Source organism: Homo sapiens, chromosome 19 (assembly GCF_000001405.40).
Source record: "Homo sapiens chromosome 19, GRCh38.p14 Primary Assembly".
NCBI lineage: Eukaryota > Metazoa > Chordata > Mammalia > Primates > Hominidae > Homo > Homo sapiens.
Genome location: NC_000019.10, coordinates 57,360,380 through 57,380,157, shown reverse-complemented (window position 1 = coordinate 57,380,157; position 19,778 = coordinate 57,360,380). Strand labels below are relative to the sequence as shown.

At 46.6% G+C, this 19,778-nt stretch overlaps 2 protein-coding genes across 2 annotated transcripts, besides 2 other annotated features; both read right to left on the bottom strand.

Moving 5' to 3' along the window:
• Positions 1–592: 592 nt before the first annotated feature.
• Positions 593–16,607, bottom strand: ZNF547 (zinc finger protein 547). Its single transcript, NM_173631.4, has 4 exons — positions 16,455–16,607; positions 11,579–11,614; positions 8,250–8,376; positions 593–3,030 (listed from the first exon to the last, which is right to left on the bottom strand). Exons 2-4 carry the CDS (start codon positions 11,600–11,602, stop codon positions 1,973–1,975), a joined length of 1,209 nt encoding a protein of 402 aa, NP_775902.2. The 5' UTR covers positions 11,603–11,614; positions 16,455–16,607; the 3' UTR covers positions 593–1,972.
• TRAPPC2B (trafficking protein particle complex subunit 2B) lies at positions 14,753–16,607 on the bottom strand. Its single transcript, NM_001355204.2, has 2 exons — positions 16,455–16,607; positions 14,753–15,343 (listed from the first exon to the last, which is right to left on the bottom strand). The coding sequence occupies exon 2, from the start codon at positions 15,322–15,324 to the stop codon at positions 14,902–14,904; it is 423 nt and encodes a 140-aa protein (NP_001342133.1). The 5' UTR covers positions 15,325–15,343; positions 16,455–16,607; the 3' UTR covers positions 14,753–14,901.
• Positions 16,555–16,934: an enhancer, noted in NCBI's record as "active region_15136". NCBI's record gives its function as "activates an Ori minimal core promoter by ATAC-STARR-seq in GM12878 lymphoblastoid cells {active_cell/tissue: GM12878}" and the evidence as "EXISTENCE:reporter gene assay evidence [ECO:0000049][PMID:35858748]".
• Positions 16,975–17,054: an enhancer, noted in NCBI's record as "active region_15135". NCBI's record gives its function as "activates an Ori minimal core promoter by ATAC-STARR-seq in GM12878 lymphoblastoid cells {active_cell/tissue: GM12878}" and the evidence as "EXISTENCE:reporter gene assay evidence [ECO:0000049][PMID:35858748]".

Genomic DNA, 19,778 nt, shown 5'->3' with positions numbered 1-19,778 from the left:
ATGCGAGGGACCTAGGTGCACTCCTTATGTGAATCTAACTAATGCCTGATGATCTGAGGTGGAAGAGTTTCATTCCGAAACCATCCAGCCCCCTGCACTGCCATCCACAGAAAAACTGTCTCGCATGAAACCAGTTCCTGGTGCCAAAAAGGTTGGGGGACTGCTGTCATACAAGATCATTTAGAATTTGGCATAATTTTCAAAATGACACAACCCCTGATAGGTTCTGTGGCTTTGGCACCTAAGCTATTCTATCTGTTGCCTAGAACCCATTAAGAGGAATGCTCAATGGCATGCACACCCCATGATAGGTACACACCTGGAAAGCAGCAGTAAGAGCACAGAGGAATGGTCAGTGGCATGCACACCCCATGATAGGTACACACCTGGAAAGCAGCAGTAAGAGCACAGTCATTGGGACTGGATGGCCTGGGTAGAGGGCAGGTCCACAGGTAAATTGCTGTATTTTGTGACCTGACTTAAAGTCCTTTAAAATGTATTCTTACCATGATGTATTCTCATACAACATTATACACCACTAAATATCTACATAGATTGGGGGAGAAAATGATCCAAGGGCTACAGAATGCAATTGGTATTTTGCAAAGATTTCTGTTTTGTATCAAAGATGACAAGCTATTTCCTGGTTGTAAACACTGGGAAAAATTAACAAAATGAAAAGGCTCACAGGATAGAACATAGAAACAAGGGGTATTTACAGAGAAGCTCTGCATTGTTATAAAAATGGGATAGGACAGTTCTCAAAATGTAGTCCCTACATCAGCAACAACAAAATCACCTAGAAACCTGTTAGAAATGTTGCCTTCTATGGATTAGAATGAGGACAAATCACAACTTTTGTGGAATGTTAGGAATGTAAAACGGTGCAAGTTTTATGGAAAAGTTTCTCAGTTCATCAAAGAATTAAAGTTAGAAGTACCATGTGATCCAGCAGTTCCACTTTTTGGGGTACCCAATAAGAATTGAAAGCAGGGTCTCAAAGAGATATTTGTGCCCTTATGCTTGTAGTAGCAATATTCACAATAGCCAGAGGTAGAAGTAACCCAAGTGTCCATGAATAGATGTCAGAAATAAAGGAAATGTGGTAAATGCAAACAATGAAATATTGCTCAGCCTTAAAATTTCTGACACATGCTAAAAAATGAATGAACTTTGAGGATATTATCCTAAGTGAAAAAAAATAATGAAAAACACTCTAAGATTCTTCTTCTGAGAAGTACCAAGAATAGTCAGAGTCATAATGACTTAAAAATATGGTGGTCGCCAGGGACTGAAGAATGTGGGAATGAGTTGTTTTTTTAATGGTGGTTATAGAGTTTCATTTTACAAGATAAAGAGTTCAGGATATTCTTTGCTCAACAATGTTAATGTACTTCAAGTATTAAACAAGACATTACAATAGTTAAGATGGCAAATTTTATGTGGCATGTACTTCACCATTGTTTTTTAAAAACCATATAATACTAGTTCTCAGTGCTAAATCACAGATTTCTGGGTGTTGTTCGTCATTTTGGCTACATTCAAGGCACATACGTGGCCTTTTTCCAGTGTGAACTACATGATGTCTAAGTAGTGTGGAGTAGTAGCAAAATAATGTCACACATTTGCTGTACTCAGAAGACTTTCACTAGTGTGGATATTCTGAAGCCCAATAAGTACAATCTTGCATGTTGAATCTTTACCACTTTCTACTTTATTGAAAAGACTCTTCTTCAGTGTAAACTCTCCAATGTCTAATGAGATGAGAGTCAAACCAAAATAATGTCCCGAGTTTGCTGAACACACATTTCTGCAGTGTGAATTCTCTGATACATAGCGACTGGAGAGCTGTACCTACATAATTACCCACGTTCACGGCATTCAGTCTTTCTCCAGTGTGTACTGCCTGCTGTCCAGCCACAATATGTTGGTGACTGAAGGCTTTCCCATATCCACTGCATTCATAAGGGCCTTATCCAGTGTGGACTTTCTGATGTCTGAGAAGTGTAGAGTTATACCTAAAGAATTTCCCACATTCACTGCACTGCTTTGCTGCAGTGTGAACTGTCTGATGACAAATGAGGTGGGACTTTGTAAGGAAGGCCTTCCCACACTCACTGCATTCATAAGGCCGTTCTCCAGTGTGAACTCTTTGGTGTTGAATGAGGACGGATTTCAAGCTGAAGAATTTCCCACATTCATTGCACTCATAAGGCCTTTCTCCAGTGTGAACTCTCTGATGTCTACTGAGTGTAGACCTTTCCATAAAGAATTTCCCACATTCACTGCAACCATAAGACCTTTTTCCTGTATGAATTCTGTAATGCCTAAAGAGGTTTGAGTTGCACTTAAAGAACTTCCCACATTCACTGCAACCATAAGGCCTCTTTCCAGTGTGAACCCTCTGATGTGTAATGAGTGTGGAACTCCACATAAACAATTTCCCACATTCACTGCACTCATAAGGCCTTTCTCCAGAGTGGATTGTCTGGTGACGAACAAGGTGAGACTTACAAAGAAAGGCTTTCCCACATTCATTGCACTCATAAGGCCTTTCTCCAGTGTGAGTTCTCTGATGTCTATTGAGTGTGGACCTTTCCATAAACAATATCCCACATTTGCTGCACTTATAAGTTCTTTCTCCAGTGTGGATTTTCTGATGGTCAGAAAGTTTATGTTTGTGGCTAAAGGCTTTCCCACATTCACTGCACAAGAAGGTCTTCCCTGCCATGTGAACTCTGTGGTTCTTCACAAATGTCGGTCTTCCTCCATCCCCTCTAGAAAGTTTCTCTCTAATCTGCTCCTTTTGGTGCTGGTGAAGATGTGCTGGACACGTGTACAGTCCCTGCTCGGGGTGTGTTCCGTCATGCTCAGCCAGACGCAGAATGTCCTTCAGAAGTGAGCTACATGTCTCACAGGGCTGGGTATTCTGGGTAGATAGACAGGGCTTTGGAGCCATGACCTGTGACACTCCTACAGAAACACCTGGCTCTAAAGGTGCCTCCTCATCCTCAGCTCCATGGCAACAACCTGTAAGAATAAAAATGCTGGTGAGGTGCATGTTGACTGTGATGAGCGGAGGCAACCCCATCACAAATGTCAGTCAGACACCCCATGAAAATGATCATGGAATTGGTGACAGGCATGAACCCTGGTACTGTGGCAGGCCAGGTCTCACTAACAGCTGAGCAGGCAGGCTTCCATGACAACGGTTTCAGCACTGACTGAGTGGTTAAGTTGATTAAAAGCTGATAGAGCCAGTGCCCTCATGTACAGGCTGGAATGTAACAAAAGCCCACCAAGAGTTTTGCCTAGGCCTTTCCTGGGCCTTAAAGGATGAAAAGATAATGAAGGAATTCTTAACAGGACTCGTTTAGGATTAAATACATTTTATTGGGGGTCTGAAGAAACTCCCCAGGCCTCCACGAATAAGTTTATTGGGGTTCTAAGGAAACTCCCCAAACCTCCATGATTTAAAAGGAGACAAGATAAGGGTAATCACCCCAGCACCTGGACCCATTTAGATTAAGTAAATTTACTGAGGCTCCAGAGGAAGGTCTTCAGGACTCAGATCTTGGTTACAGAGAAGTTAATCACTTATATCTTTAGATGAATGCAAACCCACATGTAGACAAATAGCTTAGAAGGTATATAAGCTCTGCAAAACTTTGTAATTTTGAGTTGGTTTGGCAATAATTTCCAGGCCTTCTCCCTGTAACCGGTTACAGAAATAAAAACTCTCTTTTTCCCCAGTTCATCTGCATCTCATTATTGGGCTGCAAGAATAAGCAGCCCCACCCTCGGTTTGGTCTGGAAACAATATGGTTAGGCTCTGCGTCCCCACCCAGATCTCATCTTGAATTGTAATCTCCATAATCCCCACGTGTCAAGGGTGGGACCAGGTGAAGGTAACCGAATCATGGGGACGGTTGCCCCATGCTGTTCTCATGATCATGAGTTCTCCTGAGATCTCATGGGTTTTATTTATTTATTTTGAGACTGAGTCTTGCTCTGCCGCCCAGGCTGGAGTGCAGTGGCACGATCTCTGCTAACTGCAACATCTGCATCCTGGGTTCAAGTGATTATCCTGCCTCAGCTTCCTGAGTAGCTGGGATTACAGGCACGTGCCACCACGCCTGGCTAATTATTGTATTTTTAGTAGAGATGGGGTTTCACCATGTTTGCCAGGCTGGTCTCAAACTCCTGACCTCAGGTGATCCGCCCTCCTCGGCCTCCCAAAGTGCTGGGATTACAGGTGTGAGCCACTGCACCCGGCCAATCTAATGGTTTTATAAGCATCTTGCATTTCCCCTGCTTGCACTCACTCCATCCTGCTGTCCTGTGAAGAAGATGCCTGCTTCTCCTTTGCCTTCTACCATGATGGTAAGTTTCCTGAGACCTCCCAACCATGCGGAACTGTGAGTCAATTCAACCTCTTTCCTTTATAAATTATCCAGTCTCGGGTATGTCTTTTTTTTTTTTTTTTTTTTTTTTTTGAGACAAACTCTCATTCTTTCCCCGAGCCTGGAGTGCAGTGGCTTGATCTCAGCTCACCGCAACCTCCGCTTCCTGGGTTCAAGCAATTCTCCTGCCTCAGCCTCCCAAGTAGCTGGGATAACAGGTATGAGCCACCATGCCCGGCTAATTTTTGTTGTTGTTGTTATTCTTAGTAGAGACGGGGTTTCGCCATGTTGGCCAGTCTGGTCTCAAACTCCTGATCTCAAGTGACCCGTCCACCTCAGCCCCCCCAAGGTGCTGGGATTACCGGAGTGGGCCACCAAGCCTGGCCAAGTATCGCGTATCTCTTTGAGACAGAGTTTTGCTCTGTCACCCAGGCTGGAGTGCAGTGGCACGATCTCAGCTCATTGCAACTTCCACCCCCTGGGTGCAAGTGATTCTCTTGCTTCAGCCTCCCGAGTAGCTAGGATTACAGGCACCTGCCACCATACCCGGCTAATTTTTGTATTTTTAGTAGAGATGGGGTTTCACCATATTGGCCAGGCTGGTCTCAAACTCCTACCTCAGATGATCCACCTGCCCCAGCCTCCCAAAGTGCTGGGATTACAGGAGTGAGCCACTGTGCCCAGCCAGGGTATTTCTTAATAGCAGTGTGAGAACGGACAAATATAGTAAACTGGTACTGAGGTAGTGAAATACTGCTGTAAGGATACCCGAAAATGTGGAAGTGACTTTGGAACTGGGTAACAGGCAGAGGCTGGAACAGTTTGGAGGGCTCAGCAGAAGACAGGAAATGTGGGAAAGTTTGGAACTTCCTAGAGACTTGATGAATGGTTTTGATCAAAATGCTGATTTAGCAATATGGGCCATGAAGCCCAGGCTGTGGTGGTCTTAGATGGAGATGAGGAACTTGTTGGGGACTGGAGTAAAGGTGACTCTTGCTATGCTTTAGCAAAGAGAATGGCAGCTTCTTGCCCCTGCCCTACATATCTGTGGAACTTTGAACTTGAGAGAGATGATTTAGGGTATCTGGCAGAAGAAATGTCTAAGTGCTAAAGTGTTCAAGAGGAAGCAAGGCAGAAAAGTTTGGAAAATTTGCAGCCTGGCTATGCAATAGAAAAGAAAAACCCGTTTTCTGGGGAGAAATTCAAGGCTGCTGCAGAAATTTGCATAAGTAACGAGGAGTGGAATGTTAACCACGAAGGTGATGGGGAAAATGTCTCCAGTGCCTGTCAGAGACCTTCCCGGCAGCCCCTCCCATCACAGGCCCAGAGGCCTAGGAGGGAAAAATGGTTTTGTGGGCCTGGCCCAGGCTGTTCAGTGCAGCCTCAGGACATGGAGCCCTGCATCCCAGCTGCTGGCCCTGGGTCCCCCTGCTCTATGCAGCCTCGGGACATGGCGCCCTGCATCCCAGCTGCTTCAACTCCAGCCATGGCTAAAAGGGGCAAGGTACAGCTCCAGCCATTGCTTCAGAGTTTAAGCCCCAAGCCTTGGTGGCTTGCACATGGTGTTGGGCCTGTGGGTGCAAAGAAGTCATGAACTGATATTTGGGAGGGAACCTCCACCTAGATTTCAGAGGAGGTATGGAAATGCCTGATGTCCAGGCAGAGGTTTGCTGCAGGGGTGGAACTCACGGAGAACCTCTGCTAGGGCACTGCAGGAAGGGAAATGTGGGGTCGGAGCCCCCACACAGACTCCCTACTGGGGTACTACCTAGTGGAGCTATGAGAAGAAGGCCACGTCCTCCAGTCCCCAGAATGGTAGATCCACCAACAGCTTGCAACGTGTGCCTGAAAAAGCCAGAGACACTCAATGCCAGCCCATGAAAGCAGCTGAGGGGGGGTCTGTACCCTGCAAAGCCACAGGGGCAGAGTTGCCCAAGACAGTGGGAGCCCACCTATTGCATCACTGTGCCCTGGATGTGAGAGATGGAGTCAGAGGATATCATTTCAGAGCATTAAGATTTAATGACTGCCTCGCTGGGTTTTGGACTTGCATGGGGCCTGTAGGCTTTGTTTTGGCCCATTTCTTCCATTAGGAATAGGTACATTTATCCAGTGCCTCTATCCCCATTATATCTTAGAAGTAACTAACTTGCTTTTGATTTTACAGGCTCATAGGCAGAAGGGACTTGCCTCATCTCAGATGAGACTTTGGACTTGGACTTTTGGGTTAATGCTAGAGTGAATTAAGAGTTTGGAGGACTGTTAGGAAGGCATGATTGGTGTTGAAATGTGGAAGGGACATAAAATTGGGTGGGGGGGGCCGGGGTGGAATAATATGGTTAGGCTCTCTGTCCCCACCCAAATCTCATCTTGAATTGTAATCCCCATAATCCCCACGTGTCAAGGGTGGGACCAGGTGGACAGAACTGAATCATGGGAACAGTTTCCCCCATGCCGTTCTCATGAAACTGAGTAAATTCTCATGAAATTTGCTGGTTTTATGTGTCTGGCATTTTCCCTGCTTGGACTCATTTGTCTTGCCGCCCTGTGAAGAAGATGCCTAGTTCTCCTTTGCCTTCCGCCATGACTGTAAGTTTCCTGAGGCCTCCCCAGCAATGGGGACCTGTGAGTCAATTAACCTCTTTCCTTTAGAAATTACCCAGTCTTGGGTATTTCCTAATAGCAGAGTGAGAATGAAGTAATACAAACACTAAGGCCAATGAGAAGAAGGCCTGCTGTGCAGAGTTGGACCTGGCAAATACCCATAATGGGAGAGCCCTGATGATGGGTAAGAACACAAGAGAGGGGTACAGTGCAGAGAGGAGGAGGGTCTCCAAGTCACTTCTCTGCAAATGGCTTTCCACAGGCCATGGCTGCTGGTGACTAGTGAGCAGTGTGTAGAAGGCTGTGTCTAAACCCAGAGAGATCTGATTGTGACAGAGGAGATGGTGTTCAGGGACTACTGACAAATACATGCAGACCTCACCTTAAGTACAGGTCATGCAGTGGATGGCACTGCAGAGGGAGCAGTTGAAGAAAATAGGTAACGGCTGGAAGCCAGGGATTAGAAGTCAGAGTAAAAATGACAACGGGGGAAGGAAAAGAAGAGTGAGTTGTGGCAACCAGTCTTCAACTAAACAACAGGGGTCACCAGACAGATTCCTAGTAATATGACCCCAGCTGTGATATTACACCTTTTCCCAACTCCCAGGAACCAGGATCATGTCCCTCTGAGTCTCTACAGCCCTTCAGGGAGTAATATCCACCCTCTTGGGTACCAGGGCCCTCCCCATTGCTTAAGGTGACAGTCTGTGAGACCTGAAAGAGACCAGTCCTAGGGGAAAGACACAGAAAGAGACAAGACAGCACATTCCCAGAGAGATCACCTGATGATATCTCACATTCGATAATCACCAGAACTTCACAGAAGATTTCTACATCCTACACAATCAAGCCAGTGGTTCACCAAATTAGTGATCAGGTCAGTGCCAGAAATTCCAGGAACAAGAAGGGACCAAGAAATATTGGCAAGAGCAAGGGAACAACAGAGCACAGAGGTCTCATGCATTTGAATAGAACACAGGGCCAGTGGGTCTCTATGTCACCTTCAACATTTCTGGATCCTGAGCCCTTTCTTGCAAGCCTCAGAACAGCAGAGGATGGGGCTGCCAGGAAAAAGGAAGCACACAGCACATATTGCAGTCCTGACTCTCATGGAACATATGTCAGGAAACAAGGAAAAGAAGCAGCACCCATGGTCTCACTGTGGGAAACGCAGAGCTGCCTTCAGGTAAAAGGAGACAACACAGCCCAACCCAGGACACTGGGCAAGTGTGAGGGCCTTACCTAGTGAGGACAAAAGGGCCAAATTCTCCAGCATCACATCACGGTACAGCAATCTCTGAGCCTCATCGAGATGCCCCCACTCCTCCTGGGAGAAATATATGGCCACGTCTTCAAAAACCACATGACCCTGCCAAATTGGGAAAGATGAATACATGAGCAGCTTTTCAAACTGTATTTACTTAAGTTCTCTATTTATTTTCTACTTATATTTACCACCCATTAAACACAGGGACAAACTAACAGCTAAATGTGTTTCCATCTCCCCTACCATCCTGGGCACATATTCTTAACCATCTCCATCTCTAACTTTCTCAAACCAAGTCAGTATTTCCCATGCTCTAAATCAACCCAGGGACAGGTACTGCACAACTAGGGACAGTCCCAATAGCCCAGGTGTCCTGGAATTACTAAAACTAGCCAAACTATCCTGACAGCCAGCCCTGCCTTGTTTCCCTTGGAAACCCCAACAGCATCTGTGGACTAAACTAAACTCACTCCAATTTTCCTCCTGATCAAATCTGGTGTTTCACCGTGTGGCCCTGTGTTATGTGGTATGTAACCTCCTTAGGGAAACGTAAGGAATAAATATCTTCTTTCAGTGTCATTGGCCTGTCCCTGGCATCACTCACTCACATCCATAAATTAAAACTCCATGGGGGCCAGGCACAGTGGCTCATGCCTATAATCCCAGCACTTTGGGAGGCTGAGGCGGGCAGATCACCTGAGGTCAGGAGTTCAAGACCAGCCTGGCCAACACAGTGAAATCCCATCTCTACTAAAAATACAAAAATTAGGTGGGCATGGCGGCACATGCCTGTAGTCCTAGCTACTTGGGAGATTGAGGCAGAACTGCTTGAATCCAGGAGGTGCAGGTTGCAGTGAGCCAAGATCATGCCACTGCACTCCAGCCTGGGTGACAACACAGCAAGACTCCATCTAAAAAAAAAAAAACAAAAAACCCCAATGGGTACAATCACTGCTACTTTTCTCTCTCCAGGAACTCATCCCTCTCCCCTACACCTCCTTTCCTTCCTCAATCTCTACACCCTCCCAATGTGGAAGAGAAACCACATCCAGGTGGCATGAGTGACTTTTCTCTCCATATTGACATTGGCCACCGTGTCCAGCACACAGAGGAAACAGATGGAAGATAAGGTAGAAAAGGAATGTGGGCCTCCCGTGGGGGGATCCATCCTCTCCTGCCAGCCAGTTTCCATGGAGTCACCCAGATCTTGCCTCCCAAGACAACCAAACTCAGACTCATCCTCCTCCCTTGAGCTACCAGGGCCAGGGCCTGAGGCCCTCCATTCACACTCCTCCTGCCTGCACATCACTCTTTGGACAGCACTCCAATCCCATCTCTCACACCTCCACTCCAGTCAATTCCACAGACACCTCCCAGCCCACACCACAGGCATTTCCTTCACCTCCTAACAGGCCACTCTGCACACAGAAACCAGGTGGTGCACGGCAAATACGCTCAGCATCCAATTCACTCCCAGTCCTGCCCCAGAACACCAAAGTTCCCTAGCACCGGGGGCAGCCCTAAGCCCTGGGTTGAAGGTTCCCTACATGGCCCTGTTTCTCACTTCACTGTCAGGTGCCCAAACCATGTGAGGACTTCACATACTCTCAGCTGTGTCCTGCCTCATGGACACAGGATTGTAAGTTTCCTGAGGCCTCCGAGTTATGCTTCCTGTTAAGCCTGAAGAACTATGGGCTGGGTGCGGTGGCTCACGCCTGTAATCCCAACACTTTGGGAGGCTGAGGAGGATGGATCACGAGGTCAGGAGATCAAGACCATCCTGGCCAACATGGTGAAAGCCCATCTCTACTAAAAATACAAAAATTAGCTGGGCGTAGTGGGGTGAGTCTGTCGTCCCAGCTATTCAGGAGGCTGAGGCAGAAGAATCGCTTGAACCTGGCAGGGAGAGATTGCAGTGAGCCGAGATTGTGCCACTGCACTCCAGCCTGGGCCACATCTCAAAAAAAAAAAAAAAAAAAAAAAAGAACTGTGAGTCAATTAAACTTCTTTTCTTCATAAAGTACCCAGTCTCAGGTAGTTCTTTGTAGCAATATGAAAACAGACTAATAGAATTCCCATCCTCATCTCATTCCAACTGATGCTTAGCAACTCTCCGACCTCACCCTATTACCCTCCTCAGCAACCCCATCATGTCCACTCTCCTTCAGAAGTCTTTCTCACTCCTATACCCCACCATCTCACATACACTCATCCCCACAAACACTCCATTCCCTCATTTGTCTAGTGACTCCTCCACCACTGCACAGCTACCCAGTAAGAGACCCAGTTCTCATGCCCCATTCCAATTCTCTGTCTTCGAACAGCACTGCCACCATAACCTAGAGATGCTGTCACCTAAACTGAATCCATGGCTTCATCCTGGTCCATACGACAGCCACCATAGTGTGGACGTCTCCAACCTGAACTCCTCCACCAGGAGTCTCTGAGACATCTGTGGCTTGAACAAACACTGACTCCTCACACTCACTCTGAAAATTCCTAATACTGCTGACTTCTCCCATCTTAGCTGATGGAGCATCTATGCTTCCAAACAAAAACCATGGGGCCACTCCTGATTCCCCTTCTATCCCACCCCCCCAGCTGCCTCACTCTCTACATCATAAAATGTGGGCAGCTCCAGTTCAAAACACATCCTGAAGCCACCGCTACTCTTGACAAGTCACCACCAACATCCACCTAGACTGCTGCAGGAACATCCTCTCAGATCTCCCTGCCATTACCCTCACCTCCACAGTCTGTCCTCCACTCAGACGCCAAAGAAAGTTCCTTAAGCTAGGGTCCTATCACTGCCCTCTTCTGCTTCAAATCTTCCCCATCTACCACCTCCCTTAGATTAGAGACCCAGGACCTAGGCTGTCATTCCAGGCCTGATGTTTGTGTGTCTCTAGCCACCTCCCACTCTGCTCCCTATTCCTATCCGATATAACAGACACTTGCAGTTCCCTAAAAATCCAGTTCAGTCTCTCCTCTAAACACTGAAACATTCTTAATCTTGTGCCCATGACACTCTGACAGATGTTACCACGTCAACTGTCAAAAATGGGAGCCACTCCACATAATCCAGGGCCATCCAGGTAAGGTGTCACAGTAAACTTAAAACAATCAAACAAAAATCCCAGACCTAATTTAAGATACTAGAACTGGTGGAATCACTCACTTTTCAGACATAAGAGAGGGAGAAAGACAGAAAGAGAGTCTCTGGACACCACTTTTCTTTACATGGAGGTGCCAAAACCATCTATGAGATAACTGGTAGGTGAAAGGTAGAAAACACTCCACTCACCTGTGCAGGGTTCATTTCTGCCATCGCCAGGGGACCCTGAAGGAAGAGGGAAACCGTGAGAAATGGGCAACGATGGGAAGATCTTACAGGCAGAGTTGGACCACCATCTCTTCTTCCTTACCCTAAAGCAAACTGATCTCAAGTTGATTGTATAAACTCAGCTCCTCCGACTTCACTGTTGGCTCTTAGCAGCACTGTGACTCTAGAAAAGAACTGAACCTGCTGGAGCTTCAGTGCTCTCATCTGTAAATAGGTTGTAAGAATGGCTCCCACCTCATAGGACTCTTACCGGTGTCAAACACTCGTTGCTCATCATATATATCAGCTATTACTGTTCTTGGATTAATGGTTTACTATATGTTTTCAGTATAAATGATGTAGTAGAATTTCAAAAACTGAGGTGTATATTTTTAGCTTTTAAAATTTTAGAGGATACTAAAATTTTCCATGGTATGTTGATAATTATAGGCAAATTTGGGTCAAATCAATTATGTAGTGTTTGCAGGAATTTAACTCAATGAATAGCTTCACTTCTAACTGCCTATGTGTACACATTTAGAAGGACACTGGTTAGTGCTTATACCAATAAGTGTTTCATATATTCTTAATGAGTTGTAGGGAAGGGCTGAGCAGGTAGGTCAGCTACTGGTCCTCTGCAACCAGGCCTGCCTGTTACATAAGGCTCTGAGGGGAGCTTGCTGGCAGACCTTGACTGGGGCAGTAGATCATCCAATCTTGCCTTGATATGTGGAGAAGGGGAAAAAGCAGTGCCCTAGTTTAGAACCCAGCTGCTCCACTAGCCTGGATAACTTTTTTCTTTTCCCACAAAGAGTGGCCCTGAGGGTCAGCCAAGCCTGTAGGTGCAGAATATAAACCATCTCAAACCTTAGTCTCCATCCCAAGCCCATTCCTTATCCCACCCACGCCTCCCTTTTTCTAGGCAGAGGACAAAATCCTTCCTATGGCAGGTCTGCGCCTTTCTAAAGTAAGCATCTGGCTTATGGCTCCACCTATGGTGTGAACCCCAAGTATCAGCTCTCTCCTCCCTCACCACATAGCTTGCAGGCAATGACCTTTAGACTTCCCTACCAAATTGGATCCTCAGGACCCGGTCCAATCTACACCCTCTATTCTTTTTTTTTTTTTTTTTTTTCTTGAACAAACCATTTAAGAAATCAAATAGGGTAAAAATGAAGGTAGCAATTTTACACAAGGATATAAGACAAAGCTTAGAATTACTTGCTGAAAAGTTATTCAGAATGGAACAAAATTGTTCAAGTGCTCCCAGTTAGCACAGGTTGTGTTACTTGCTTTTCAATGGACATTTACTATTTTACAGTAAGATCTACTTATCATAGGAACAAACAGACAATTCCCAGCCCCCTCTGGTGTATTGCCTAAAAGGCTGAGTACAAATGTTAATGTAATCCAAGCTTTTCTTTGACAACAACCCTAAAAATTGCCTTACAACTTTTCACAAGTACAGGCATCAACAGTTGATTGTCTGAGGGAAAGGAAATATAAGAATATAAAGTGACAGAAGCAACACACTTCACTGTGGCCTGGAACTGCTCCCAGCCTCCTATTTTACAAACATGATTCAGGTTCTCACATTATAGCAAGATCACTATTCCTAGCCTCTGGCAGAAGCAGACATGTGACACTTAGCACTGCACAAGTGTTTCTTTGGCTTCTTGAGTAGTGCTATGTATACTGCCAATACATTTTTATAACATCTCTAAATGCATAACGTCCACGTATGTGCTATGACATTTCACTTCCAATGGCAGAATATTTTAGTTTTAAATCTATCTACCAAATCTTGACTATGACATTTGTTTCTGGATTGTTATAAGATCAACCTATCTGGGCCGGGTATGGTGGCTCACACCTGTAATCCCAGCACTTTGGGAGGCTGAGGCAGGAGAATCGCTTGAAGTCAGGAGGCAGAGGTTGCAGTGAGCCAAGCGCCACTGCACTCCAGCCTGGACGACAGAGCAAAACTCCACGTCAAAAAAAAAAAAAAAAAAAACAATTTATCTGAATTGGGCAAGTCGAAAGCTTATTCCCAGCCAGGCGCAGTGGCTCACACCTGTAATCCCAGCACTCCGGGAGGCCGAGGCAGGCAGATAACCTGAGGTCAGGAGTTCAAGACCAGCCTGGCCAAAATGGCGAAACCCTGTCTCTACTAAAAATACAAAAATTAGCCAGGCGTATGCCTGTAATCCCAGCTACTCTGGAGGCGGAAGGAGAACTGCTTGAACCCGGGAGGCAGAGGCTGCAGTGAGCCAAGATCGTGCCACTGCACTCCAGCCTGCATGACAGGAGCAAGACTCCATCTCAAAAACAAAAAAACAAAAACATACACACACACACAAAAAAGCTTATTCCCAATTTTTAAGTAAAAAATATTTCATGGCCAGGCGCAGTGGCTCACACCTGTAATCCCAGCACTTTGGGAGGCCGAGGCGAGCGGATCACGAGGTCAGGAGTTCAAGACCAGCCTGACCAATATGGTGAAATCCCGTCTTTACTAAAAATACAAAAATTAGCCAGGCGTGGTGGTGCATGCCTGTAATCCTAGCTACTTGGGAGGCTGAAGAAGGAGAATTGCTTGAACCCGGGAGGTGGAGGTTGCAGTGAGCCAAGATCGTGCCACTGCACTCCAGCCCCTGCACAACAGGAGCCAGACTCCATCTCAAAAGAAAAAAAAAAAAGAAAGAAAGAAAGAAAAAGAAAGCTTATTCCCAATTTTTAAGTAAAAATATTTCATGGCCGGGAGTGGTGGCTCATGCCTGTAATCCCAGCACTTTGGGAGGCCGAGGCAGGCAGATCACGAGGTCAGGAGTTCAAGACCAGCCTGACCAACATGGCGAAACTCCGTCTCTACTAAAAATACAAAAAAAATTAGGCAGGCATGGTGGTGGGAGCCTGTAATCCCAGCTACTCGGGAGGCTGAGGCAGAATTGCTTGAACCTGGGAGGCGGAGGGTGCAGTGAGACGAGACTGTGCCACTGCACTCCAGCCTGGGCAACAAGAGCAAAACTCCGTCTCAAAAAAAAAAAAAAAAGAAAGAAATTAATTATTATTGATAATGAGTTCTTTATAAATAACATTGTTCACAAGGAAATACTAATTGATCTACTGATATGTGACATGAGACAGAATGTACTATTTTTAAATATAAAAGAAATTTCATTAAGTTTAGATAAGCTGAGAATACACAAAAGATTTCCAGGCTATTTAATCAAGTAATTTACAATGTACACATTCCTGAGTATACACCATTGTGGTGATATAATTTATTTTGGAATTTTCTCCATTCAGCTTAAAAGGTGTTTCTTCCCAAGAAACTGAACTTTTCTGTCAAATGCACTTGATCGAATAGGAGAATTGGGTTCATAAAATGGATTCATTGAAAATTTTATATATAAATCATAAACATCAGTAAAGAAGTTCTTTATTCCATCTTCTTGTCTTATGTCATGAAGCATAATAAACCTCATATGCCCCGCGGTGACAAATGCTGACACAAACCACTCGTTGAACTTGTCCACAGTTTTCAAGTACATGTTGTTCGACAGCCACATGTTCTCATCTACGAGGTCGAGAGCAGCATGAGCTATGAACTGGTTCAGATGACGATGGTCGTCTTTGGATTCTGCCTTCCCAGCTGGCAAAAACTCCATTTCAAAAACTGGATTATCATGGTGACCAACAATTACAAAGTAGAAGCTTCCAGACATGGTCTTCAATATATGGCTCCTGCAGCGGGAGGCCGACAACGGAAACGCAATGTCAGTTTCCGCGGAAGAGACCCGCGCTCCGCACCTTTTTTTGACACGGAATCTCGCTCTGTCGCCCAGGCTGGAGTGCAATGGCGCGATCTTGGCTCACTGCAATCTCCACCTCCTGGGTTCAGGCAATTCTCCTGCCTCAGCCTCCCGAATAGCTGGGATTACAGGCGCGCGTCACCACCCCCGGCTAATTTTTGTATTTTTACTAAAGACGGGGTTTCACCATGTTGGTCAGGCTGGTCTTGAACGCCTGACCTTGTGATCCGCTCGCCTTGGCCTCCCAAAGTGCTGGGATTACCGGCGTGAGCCACCACGCCCGGCCACCCTCTATTCTTTTGAAGAATCTACACCAGTTCTCCTCTGTAGACTCCACACCTTTCTGTCCCCCTACCCATGTGACATTTTCAACTTGAGACGCCTGAGAATCACACTGGCCAAACTCCAACCCATGATCTTCTCCATGAAACCTACTTCTCATGCTGCTGACTTCCCCAACTTCATTCTTTCAGATGTTCGGGCAAAAAAAAAAAAATGACCCTTCACTCCCTATTTTTGCTCACAGACATATCTGATACGGCAGGAAAACCTGTTGGCTCTATCTTCCAGGTCTATCCAGAATCCCATCACATTGTCCCTCTTATACCACGGCTCTGGTGCAGCCTCTGGGATCCACTGCAGTGGCCTCTTCTGGGTCTCTCTGTGTCAATTCCCCATCCTGCTCGTTCTAACTCTGGACCTGCCCCTCCCACTGGTCTTCCCTTGACAACCTTCCATGGTTATACCGGCTGCTCAGGCTGCCATTCCAAGAGAAAATTCACAAAACCCTCTCTTTCCCGCAGAAACAACCCACACTCCGGGCTCCCCGACGCGGCCCACTTGGCAGCACCTCCATGCTCTGAACCTGAGATCCCCGAAGGGAGCTCTGAGGCTGCATCAAACCAGCTGATACGGGGACCCCACACAGGAACGCCCCTCTCTTCGAGACAAGGGGCCTGACCTGCAGGGCCCCTTCTATGGGCTTCAGCACTGGAAGGAGGGGTCGGGCGGAGGTGGGGGGGGGCCTGGGACGGGGCACCCACCTCGGGTTCTTCGGCGGGGACTCCGCAAGTCCAGCCAGGGAAGAGAGGGGCGGGGGCGACAAAGGCAAGACAAGGACACCGCCGTCCCCAGTCCTTGTCAGCTGAGCTTCTGCCACTGTCAGTTGTGCCTGTGTCACTACCGCCTCTGCGTACAAGGAACCAAGCCGCTTCTCGCGCTTTTCCGCTCCGTCACTTCGGTGACGTCATAGAGCGCCAAAGGCCGGAACTAGTGAAAACACCAGAGAAAATCAAATCAACCACGGCAAGAGGACGCCGGAAGTCCCGCCCTCCTACGATGCGCGAGCACGAGGACGGACGCACGCACGCACGCACGCACGCAAAGGTTCCTTCCTGCACATTCATTGGGTCAGTCGCGCTGCCGAGAACCGCAGTGTCTTCTGGGTTATGAAGTTTCGACACCGCTTCTGGACTTGCCTTAGAGCGTTGGTCAGTCCTTATATGGCGGATAGAGGCTCAGTGGCACCGTCAGGGGAGCTGGTAAACAGAGTGCCGGACTCCACGGACAGGACGGGGCTTGGGTTGCTCTTAAAGGCGACATAACCAGATTTTCTTGAAGTAAGGTCTAGGATACTCACAGAAATGTGAGGGACCTATGATATCGGATTGTGAAGCACAGCAAGTTCTCAACGGCTACACCGCCAAAGGGACACACTATACCACAAAGGCACTCTGTCTCTACTCATGCCTCTCAGCCATATGTTGCTTTTCAAATACACATACAGTTAAACTTTGACTTCTATTTATTAAGCTTCAATATGGTTGGTCCAAGAGAACAAAGAAAGACTACATGGCTGGGAATTTGCACAAAAGAAGACAGGAGATACCGACGTAGATTGAAAGGGTGACGCTGTGCCTCTGGATCCAGAAGAAAACATCATTACTGTCTGTAGAGTCAGTGATTGTGTTCCTACCAAGAGTGCAATGCTTTTATTCTAATAATACTTATTACTTCATGTCTGAAATATTTTACATTTATTTTAAAAGTCTCAATCCTGTCTGAAAATGAGAGTGACTGATACATGCCATTTCCTGACAGGACATTTTGTGCCATTCCATAGTTGGAGTATATGTACACAGGGAACGTATTATCCCCAATAAAAACTGTGAACTTTCATGATCTTATCTCCTTCCTGAGAAGTGAGTTATCATTTTACAGGGAGTTGAAATTATCTGTGAAAATACTTGTGAAATGAAAATTACAGAAATCTATTAATAATAACTGTTAGGTTTTGAAGGGAAGGCGAGGGTTAAAGAAAGGCAGAGTTGGCAGCTCTACAGCAATGCAGGTTTTATGTCCAGCACGAGACCTGTGATGGGGAGAACTAGCTTAGTGCCAGAACCCCTCACTGCTTACAGGCTGGGGCAATTATAGGCCTGGATGAGAGGGGTCAGGGGTGGGGGGCAGGGGGCGCGGCGGGAGGGTATGACTTGCTGCCCAGGAGGATGGTGGGTTTTTTTTTGTTTTTGGAGGAGTCTCGCTCTTGTCGCCCAGCCTTGAGTGCAATGGCGTGATCTCGGCCCACTGCAACCTCCGCCTCCCGGAGTTCAAGCGATTCTTGAACTCCGCCTCCCGAGTAGTTGGCTTTACAGGCGCGTGCCACCACGCCCGGCTAATTTTTTTGTATTTTTAGTAGGGACAGGGTTTCACCATGTTGGTCAGGCCAGTCTGGAATTCCTGACCTCAGGTGATCCGCCCGCCTCGGCCTCCCAAATTGCTGGGATTACAGGCGTGAGCCACAGCACCCGGCCAAAGGATGTGCGTAAGATGTTCCTGAGGCAGTTTGGCCTTTTATCCGGCAGGATGTGATAGTGACCTTCCTTGGATCTTTTCCCAGAACGATGTGATAAGAAAGTCAGGCAGTTGGGCAGGATGTTTCTCAAGGCCCTCACTCCGTGGAATGCTTCACTCTGACCAAGGTCTGTGAGATGGCAGGGGGCTTACAGGATGGTGCAGTTTGGACTAACAGTGATTATGTTATTTCAAAACTAGTGGCAGAAATAGTCCTACAGAAATCTCTCTGTGACATGTGAAGGGGGGAAAAAGCAAGGTTACAGTAGAGTTTGAGCAAGAGTCTGAGAAGTCAAAGAATGAAGTTGAGACTGGCTGTGCTGGAACCTGGACACATTATGCTTCTGTCTCCTATATGTATTTCTTATTTCATACTTGAAAACATCGCTTATTAACTGTTTGGAGGGATAGAGATAACAAATGGAAACACTTGTCAAAAAATAAAAATGAAGGCCGGGTGCGGTGGCTCACGCCTGCAATCCCAGCAATTTGGGAGGCCGAGGTGGGCGGATCACGAGGTCAGGAGCTCAAGACCAGCCTGGCCAACATAGTGAAACCCTGTCTCTACTAAAAATACAAAAATTATCTGGGCATGGTGGCGGGTGCCTGTAATCCAAGCTACTTGGGAGGCTGAGGCAGGAGAATCGCTTGAACCCAGGAGGTGGAAGTTGCAGTGAGCAGAGATCGCGCCACTGCACTCCAGCCTGGGTGACAGTGCAAGACTCCGTCTCGAAAAATAAAAATAAAAATGAGTAGGCAATCTGTGTGATGATGTGTATTTACTGCTCTACAAAATGTTCAATGAGCACGTACAAACTGGGTTTCAGGTCAATGGTAGGTATATGGGACACACCGGGAATAGGGCTGCCAGCTGCTGTGTGTATACAGGACTGTTATGTGTTTCCTTAGATTCTGTATTTGTCTTTTTGGTATTCATAAATCACAGGTTCAAGCTAACAGCCAAAGTTGTTAACTTCTCTGTCTGCAAGCCACTTACTCAGAGGTGTGTGAAACTCACATAAAAAAACCCCAGCCAGGCTGGGCGCAGTGACTCACACCTGTAATCCCAGCACCTTGGGAGGCCGAGGCAGACAGATCACCTGAGGTCAGGAGTTCGAGACCAGCCTGGCCAACATGGCGAAACCCCATTTCTGCTAAAAATACAAAAATTAGCTGGGCATGGTGGCGGGTGCCTGTAGTCCCAGCTGCTTGGAAGGCTAAGGTGGGAGAATCGCTTGAACCCGGGAGGTGGAGGTTGCAGTGAGCCGAAATCATGCCACTGTACTCCAGCCTGGGCAACAGAGCAAGACTCCATTTCAAAACAAAACAAAACAACCCTGCCTTTAAAAAAGATACTTATTGTGTGTTATTAGGGAATTGCAAATAAAAGCAACAATGGCATACCACTACACACCTATTTGAATGGCATTTTAAAATCCAAAATACTGAAAATGCCAAATGCTGATTAGGATGAGATGCAAGAGGAATGTTCAATCATTGTTAGTTGGATGCAA

What these genes read in the sequence shown, in the direction of transcription:
- ZNF547 (NM_173631.4), bottom strand. Translation starts at nt 11,602, where the DNA reads ATGGCAGAAATGAACCCTGCACAG. An exon ending in CAGAAATGAACCCTGCACAG is followed by an intron (nt 8,377 to 11,578) that starts GTGAGTGGAGTG and finishes CCAATTTGGCAG; the next exon opens with GGTCATGTGGTTTTTGAAGA. An exon ending in GGCCCTTTTGTCCTCACTAG is followed by an intron (nt 3,031 to 8,249) that starts GTAAGGCCCTCA and finishes TTATTCTTACAG; the next exon opens with GTTGTTGCCATGGAGCTGAG.
- TRAPPC2B (NM_001355204.2), bottom strand. Translation starts at nt 15,324, where the DNA reads ATGTCTGGAAGCTTCTACTTTGTAATTGTTGGTCACCATGATAATCCA.